The sequence below is a fragment of the Homo sapiens genome, chromosome 3 (genome assembly GCF_000001405.40).
Source record: "Homo sapiens chromosome 3, GRCh38.p14 Primary Assembly".
NCBI classification, from domain to species: Eukaryota; Metazoa; Chordata; class Mammalia; order Primates; family Hominidae; genus Homo; species Homo sapiens.
Window position 1 is genome coordinate 27,936,367 of NC_000003.12, and position 8,641 is coordinate 27,945,007.

Genomic DNA, 8,641 nt, shown 5'->3' on the forward strand with positions numbered 1-8,641 from the left:
TGAGCACCATCCCCCTAGTGCTGTCTCATGACAGTGTTCTCATAAGATCTGGATATTTAAAAGTGTGTAGCTCTCTTCCCCCTTTGCTCTCTCTTCCTCCTGCTTTGGCTAGGTGAAGATGTGCCTACTTCTCTTTCACCTTCTGCTATGATTGTAAGTTTCCTGAGGCCTCCCTAGCCATGTGGAACTGTGAGTAGATTAAACTTCTTTTCTTTATAAATTACCCAATCTCAGGTAGTTCTTTATAGCCATGCAAGAACCGACTAATACACTTCCCAACTCTCATCAGTGGTGGCTGGAATCTCCTTCCATATAAATGATTTGAATTTATTCTTTTTCTTATGGTCTGCTTCTAGGTGAACCCAACCATAGAGGTAGGGGCACTTCAAGTTGGATGAAAATTTATTAAAAATCTTATCAAGAAAGACAGAAACAAGCACAGAGATTGTTTGAAGCAGTGTCCTTAAGAATGTTTTTGGCCAGGTACATAAAAAAGGAGAAATAAACTTACAAGAAACTGCTGGTTGTGTTTGTCAGAGTCAATATTCACTAGCCAAGCTTTGACGAATAATTTGACCCTTAAATACTTTAATACTGGGTAGGCAGTATGCTGGATAATGGACACTGGTGTTCTTTCACTGGATAAGGTATCTCCTCTTTTGTGAAATCACATGTTAGCATTCTGATTTATCTATTGGTCTCTCGAGTTTGGTTAGTGTGGGTCAGTTTTGAGTCTGGCAGAAACTGCTGTGATTAAAGGATCAGACTCTGGAACTGCCACTCTAGAAGGCTGTCCTGGGCAGGCAAGCATATTCCTTTATATATTTGTCACTTGCCTGAACAATTTTTATTATGCTATCAAAACTATGCATTTGTTATTTAGGAAATAAAAGCATATTCTGGCATTAAATTCTGAAACAAATTCATTGTCTGCTTATAAGTGGTGTAAGATAACATAATGATCATTATTCAAACTTCCATAAAAGCTGAGTATAACATATTCAAGTATAGCAGAGTGAAGGTGTTTTCGCTGGGGCAAAGCCAAGGAAATGAAAGCCTTTCTGATCTAGGAGTAGTGATTCTCAACCAGCGTCCAAAGTACTCATGCAGACCTCAGTAGCTTTCATAAGAGTTTCTTCACCACATATTCCCAACAGACTGAATAAACAGATCTCACACAGATGTGTATGGCTGTTCTTGCAGGTATAGGTGAAGTTTTTTATTATAATGCTTTTGAACTCATGGTGGTGGGTGGTGTCTTTGATGACTATGTATTTTCTCAATGGTTACTAAATAAAACTACTATCATTTGGGGAGGGCCTTGATAATTGTTTAGGCTTATAAGGAATCCTCATATATTAAAAGATTGAACCATGATTTGACTATCTGTCTTAAGAATCCATTTTTTAAACTGGTTTTTGAAATGTAGGATAGAGAAATTAGGGAGTTCAGTGTTACCTTCTCTGGTGGCCATTGAATTTAGAGCTTCTGTGCTTTTGCCTAAAGTGAATCCCTGTGCTGTGGAGTAAGGTTGACGTTCTGTTATGAAAATTCTTAAGCCTGACTGATATTTATCTCTGAGTGTGGCCTCTTTTATGACCTATGCAAGTAGTATTAGGGTATAGGGAAGGAGGAAAAATGGCTCTACCTAAGGAGTATTGCAGGATACTGGTCAAGACAGAGTAATTTCCCCACAAGATATGGAAGAAGACAGTTCAACCCCAGGAGGCGGACTTGGTTCAACCCTGATGTCTCAAGATTTCTCTGGGTTTATAGCCTATATACCCAGTGAAAACCTACTTCTCTAAGCCCACAGATGTGAATTTCAGGAGTTCACAGGACTCTTCAGAATAATGATCTTTCTCATTACTATTGTACTTTACAGCTTTGTACACATTTTCTTTGGCCTTTTTCTGAAACCCTGTGAGGTAAGAAGGGTAAGATTGTCCTATTTTATGCATAAAATAAACATCCTGTCCCACATAGGTTGCTTTTGTGAAGGCCACTTAGCTAACATAGGGAAGAATCATAACAAAGACCTGAGCCTTTCTGAAACCAATCTAGAAGACAATTGCATAATAGACATAAAATAATATACAATCATGCACCACACAACAATGTTTCAGTTAACAATGGACTACATATATATATATGTATATAATAGAGTTCCCATAAGATTATAATACCATATTTTTACTGTATCTGTTCTATGTTTAGATATGTTTAGATGCTGATATGAAACAGGAAAAGAACTAAGGCCCAACAACTCTAAGAGGAATTCCCGGAAGAGTCCAAGAGTTCCCTGTTTTACACTCAGTTTTCATATACTCTTTAACAATACACTCTCACAATATAGCCCTTGGATAAAGTTGCTTTAAAAAAATAAGGGCAACTGGCATCTTGTTTAAGAAATGTTCCCATCACAGTTTGACTGAGCAACTTGGTAGAACCAACTCGTTCATCTGGAGTTGAAGGGACATAAATGAACAGATTTTTAAAATAATTATTCATAAGATGTCAACTCTCGTAACACTGTTTCTTGATTATCTGCCGACCTGAGGGGCTCTTACTACGCTCTCAGAATAATGTGTGACATGCTGACATCCAGCTGGTCAATGGTAGTGAGATATTCACTGAGTTAGAGAGAAGGGACTGATAAGTCTAGCCCCAATTCTCCTTTGTCTGTGATCTGGTCAGACACTTCATAGAGAATTTAAAGGGGTATATGGTGAAATATATGGAAAGTTGGGATTCTAAGATACTAAACATTTATGTACTAGGTGATAGGAGACAAAGGATAAATAGTGATCCTAGAAACACATAGATTCTGTTGAGGGAACTATTTAGACATTAGGTAGAATGTGTAGAATAAGAGAAAATGGTAGTCAGGCAAATTACAAGTCCCTCCCCTACCAGCAATCTAGCTAAGTGACACCAAACAAGTCAGTTAAACTCACAGAGCCTATTTTCTCTTCTTAAAAATGAGGTAATAATGCCTTAGAAGACAATAATGATGATGAAATGTAATTATATAAAGTATCTTGCCCATAAAAATATTCAAAATGATATTAATGATAATTTAAATATTAAATAGCATTTAATTTAATATTAAAAATTATTTTTCTATTTGAACTGGATTAGCAAATATGTTTTGTTGAATATTACATTTTATGTGGCTTGTGTGCTATTTTAAAGGTACACAGTAATATCCTTTAAGTACAAATTCTAATTAGAGAAAGATTTTGTGATTCTCACTAGGCAACTACAGTCATGCATTGCTTAATGATGGGTAGATGTTCTGAGAAATGCATCATTAGATGATTTCATCATCTGAACATCACAGAGTGTACTAATACACACCTGCATGGTATAGCCTGCTACACACATAGGCTGAATGGTGTAGCCTATTGCTCCTAGGCTACAAACCTGTATAGCATATTACTGTACTGAATACTGTAGGCAGTTGTAACACAATGATGGGAGAGGTAGCTGAAATTTTCCCTTCAAGCACCTGCTCAGGCACAGTCTACACCCACCCCCAGGAGCTGGAAGTTGGGGCAAATTAAGCTATCTCCTCCAAACACATTGAATACAGACAATCCTACTTCAAAATAAACATCAAAGAGAAAAGTTCATAAATATACACACTGAAGCTAGTGTGTGGAATGTGAATGGCCCGCTGCTTTGCTCTCAGCCTGCGATGGTGATTCATAGGTCAGTCGTAGCCATGAGAATCCCTCTTTGCATTCTTACATGACAGCTGCAGTGGAAGACAATCAGGCCTGGAAGTCAGGTCACATGTCTTACGGACTCAATGACCCCAGCATTGTCATTTATCCTCCTTGAACTTCAGTCTCCTCTTCTGGTATGTGAGCTGTTATTTGATCCCCATAATGACATGGCAGTGAAGAAGCAGGGAACTGAGGACACTCAATCTGTAAGGAGTTAAGTGACTCTCCCCAAAGTCGCATAGTTAGGAATGGCAAAAAGAAAGGCTTAAACTTGGGTTTTTGGACTGTGAGCCTAGTGCTACTTCCTCTTCATAATTACAGAGCCTGTGCATTTATATGATTTATATGACTCAGGTCTTCTTTAGGAGGTTGAGAGCACAGACTTCTAGGCCTGGGGTTACCAATTGTTCTGGTTTACCTGGGACTGAAAGCTTCCTTGGGCATGAGACTTACAGTTTTAAAATGAGGAAACCTGGACAAACAAGGACAAATTGGTCACTATAGCTGGTTAAAATTTTAGGCAGTGGTTGTCAATTGTGGCTGCAGAATAGAATCACCTGGATTGCTTAAAAATACTGATACTTAGGCCCATGCCCGGCAATTGAATCTGAATCTCTGGGAGTATCTATATAATTTTTTTTTAAATCTCTAAAGTTTATTTTGATGTAAAGATTGAGAACTACTGATTTAGAATACAGTATCAATGAACTTCCTCCTTCAGCAGACCACACATAATTGCCCACAATCAAGGTGGGGGAAGTGGCTCACCAAAGTCTTTTTTTTTTTTATATTGTGTTTTTATTTATTTATTTATTTATTTATTTATTTAATTATTATTATACTTTAAGTATTAGGGTACATGTGCGCAATGTGCAGGTTAGTTACATATGTATACATGTGCCATGCTGCTGTGCTGCACCCATCAACTCATCATTTAGCACTAGGTATATCTCCTAATGCTATCCCTTCCCCCTCCCCCCACCCCACAATAGTCCCCAGAGTGTGATGTTCCCCTTCCTGTGTCCATGTGTTCTCATTGTTCAATTCCCACCTATGAGTGAGAACATGCGGTGTTTGGGTTTTTGTCCTTGCAATAGTTTACTGAGAATGATGATTTCCAATTTCATCCATGTCCCTACAAAGGACATGAACTCATCATTTTTTATGGCTGCATAGTATTCCATGGTATATATGTGCCACATTTTCTTAATCCAGGCTATCATTGTTGGACATTTGGGTTGGTTCGAAGTCTTTGCTATTGTGAATAGTGCTGCAATAAACATGCGTGTGCATGTGTCTTTATAGCAGCATGATTTATAGTCCTTTGGGTATATACCCAGTAATGGGATGGCTGGGTCAAATGGTATTTCTAGTTCTAGATCCCTGAGGAATCGCCACACTGACTTCCACAATGGTTGAACTAATTTACAGTCCCACCAACAGTGTAAAAGTGTTCCTATTTCTCCACATCCTCTCCAGCACCTGTTGTTTCCTGACTTTTTAACGATTGCCATTCTAACTGGTGTGAGATGGTATCTCATTGTGGTTTTGATTTGCATTTCTCTGATGGCCAGTGATGGTGAGCATTTTTTCATGTGTTTTTTGGCTGCATAAATGTCTTCTTTTGAGAAGTGTCTGTTCATGTCCTTCACCCACTTTTTGATGGGGTTGTTTGTTTTTTTCTTGTAAATTTGTTTGAGTTCATTGTAGATTCTGGATATTAGCCCTTTTGTCAGATGAGTAGGTTGTGAAAATTTTCTCCCATTTTGTGGGTTGCCTGTTCACTCTGATGGTAGTTTCTTTTGCTGTGCAGAAGCTCTTTAGTTTAATTAGATCCCATTTGTCAATTTTGTCTTTTGTTGCCATTGCTTTTGGTGTTTTAGACATGAAGTCCTTTGAAAGGCACATTGGAGAAGGTTGCTTTCTTCAAGGTTGTAACAGCTGGAGCGAGCCCTCAATTGACTAAAGCAACAAATTGTACTACTGAGGGAGCTGCAAGGACCACAATTCCATCTACGGCCCCAGGACTTGTGTGGAAAGACAGACACTGCTTCTTGAAAACCATCTTCCATAGACTGGCATTCAGTCCCCTTGGCTTACCGCAAGGAGGAGGGAGAGGATGCCAATATGGTGTGATGAAAGCAAATCTCTGCGTGTGGGAGTTTTCTTCTAACTACCAAATAAAATGACTGCTTTTGACTAGGTTTAATGGATCTGACTTTTAAAAAATCAAAGAGTTTAGAAAGCCTCAAGGTAAATAGTTATAAGAAAATAAAAATCATTTCTGCATTAAGCTTCAAATGAAATAGGGAATGTCACTTGGTGCCTATGACACCTGAGTTGCCTTGCTCTTCCTGATCCTGTGGCATTCTGCGTCATCAGCTGTCTTTTGAGAATAGACCAGAGTTGAGGATAACTTCTCACCTATGCATTTAAAAATGGCACATCAGAGTCCTGTGACATGATTTGCCCATGGCCATTTACAATGGCCAAAAATGCCAAAGTAGAATTTGTATTAGCCTGCACATTGTTTCTGATCACTGTGGGGATTTTCTGGTTCTAAAAACAATAGTGCTGAATATAATTTTGAGAAAAAATACAATAATCATTCCCCAATAATTTCCCAGCAAACATTTTTATGTTTGTGTTTTTGTGTCTGTCTTATTATCAAATGATAGTACCAATAAGAAGATAATAAGAAACCAGGATGTAATACTTATTAAACCTCCCTGGAATAAGATGACATTATAAGTTTTGAAGCAATGGGAAAAATGACAAATAAGAAAAACTGGCCAACGTGTTTAAAAATTTAAATCTCTCTGAACATACTCGTGTGTGTGTGTGTGTGTGTGTGTGTGTGTGTGTGTCATGGTCAAGTAGCACTTAGGATCTTATGCCATCTCCTTTTCATGTGCCTTCCAATACATCAGAGGTAGAAAGGTAAAAATGGATATTTCCCAGGCTCCTTTGCAGGTAGGGTGGTAGATTCAAAATAGATTCACCCATTAATGCATTCCTGTGAGGATTTAGAGGCAGAAGTGTGCCAGATGCTGCTGTTGGCTCTTCATTTTTGGTTTTAGGTACAGCTGTGGAGATGTGAGGTCTAAAGTAACATTCCAGGGTCTCATCCCCACCTTTGTGGTTGTCAGGAGACATTTGGGCTGGAACGGTGGGGACTTCTTATTCCTTTGGTCTCAGCTGCAGTGGCGTGTTCTTCCTGATGGTGGCAGATGTATTATAGCAGCAGCTTTTAAGGACCAGTTCTGTGATGATTTAGGAGTCGTTTTTAGGGGGCCAGCCTAGAGCCTGCTCCTATAGAATTTCCAGGGATTTTATAGGCATCTAATTATCTGTGTTAAATTCCTTTTACTTAAAATATTTACAGGGGTTTCTACTCTAAATTATGAAGTATTGATAAGAAAAAAGAAAAGAATAAAAAATATAAAAAGGGAAAAGTTAACAAAATGAACAACTGGTTCACACGAGACGAAATGCGGAAAAATAGAAAGCCCCTGAAGTGGATCTCCTTTTAGGAGTTGCCCTGTGGCAAACTCACCCAAATGGCTAACATGAAAGCAGCCGCCCACACAATGTGATCCCTCTCCTTTCCCCCTATGAAAGAGATTGTCTTGTAAGTCCCTTCTTCAGAAACTTGACATTGGATTTAAAATCTCTTTTATATTTTTCCAGGTGCTGAAATACAGATGTGTAAAATTTTGCCTGTGGACTGAGACACAGAGAAAGCTGATTTGTAGTGAGAAAGAAAATTAGGCAAGGGAAAAGGAAGGAACTGAAAGAAGTAGGAATAAGAAAGTGGTGAAGAGAGTGAGAAAGATCCCCTGGTTTCAGTTTGTTCCTGGGGTGCAGGAATAAATTTCTTATTTTGCTTAAGCATGATGTGTTTTTGGTTACTTGCAAATAACAATAACAATAATTCTAACCAATATCTTTGCAATAACAGAAAATTGACTCAAAGATCACTAATTCCAAAAATACTTATTGGGCATCTTGTGAAAAGGAATTGAGGAACAGGGCTTTGAATAAGACCAAGCCTTCATATTCATGGAGAATCCAGTTGAGTAGGGAAAGAGATACTGATCAAGTAATTATAGAGAAGTATAAGTTTTCTCAAGAGTGTACACCAGGATTGATGAGGACTTGCTAAGTCATTTAGAATAGGTGATTAGCCAAAATAATCACTTCTTTATTCATGATTGGGGAAATCTCTTTTAAGTGTTTGTGATGCTTTTGTCCACTTTTCAGGAAGAGCGCCTTTTTACTAATATGACCAAATACGAGTCAAAAACTTGTGGGATAGAAATATGAAGAGCTTAACAGCAGAATCTGAGACTCAAAGTTGTGACTTTGGGCCTGTCATGGGCCTATTTACCCCACTAATGGGAGCTGTTTATGAGTGTCCTTCCTTCCAGTGACATAGATTAATTAACTCAACAGGTTCAAGTCAGAAGCTTATGAACCACTGAAAAACTATTAGAATTCTCATACACATACCTATGTTTCCTCCTACGTGGCCCTGCTTTGATTACAAAATCTACATTCAGAGATATTTATTCACATTTTCCTCTGTGAGAACTCATGCTAAGAAGATTCTGGAGAGAGATATAAACACGGTTGCATGGATATTTTGGGGTTACCAAAAAAATACATGGTTTCTTTAAGATGTTAAAAGATATTCTGTGATTTCCAGGCCTGGCTGAACACTGCTTTGACCTGATGTGAGATGAGGACTCTAATACTGAGATAATATGTGTCTATGAGAAATGCATCTGGAATCAGAAAGACTGACGGCATCCTGACTCTATTTGCAAGTTGTATGGTCCTCTAGGCCTTATTTCTTTATCTGTAAAATGATATTTTTCCAGCTCTACTCTGTGATTCTCCGTTGACCA

At 38.2% G+C, this 8,641-nt stretch overlaps 1 annotated feature.

The window, feature by feature from the left end:
- Window positions 3,550–4,142: an enhancer, noted in NCBI's record as "OCT4-NANOG hESC enhancer chr3:27981407-27981999 (GRCh37/hg19 assembly coordinates)". NCBI's record gives its function as "activates a minimal SCP1, AML or CMV promoter by ChIP-STARR-seq in naive H9 embryonic stem cells {active_cell/tissue: H9 hESC(naive)}" and the evidence as "EXISTENCE:reporter gene assay evidence [ECO:0000049][PMID:30033119]".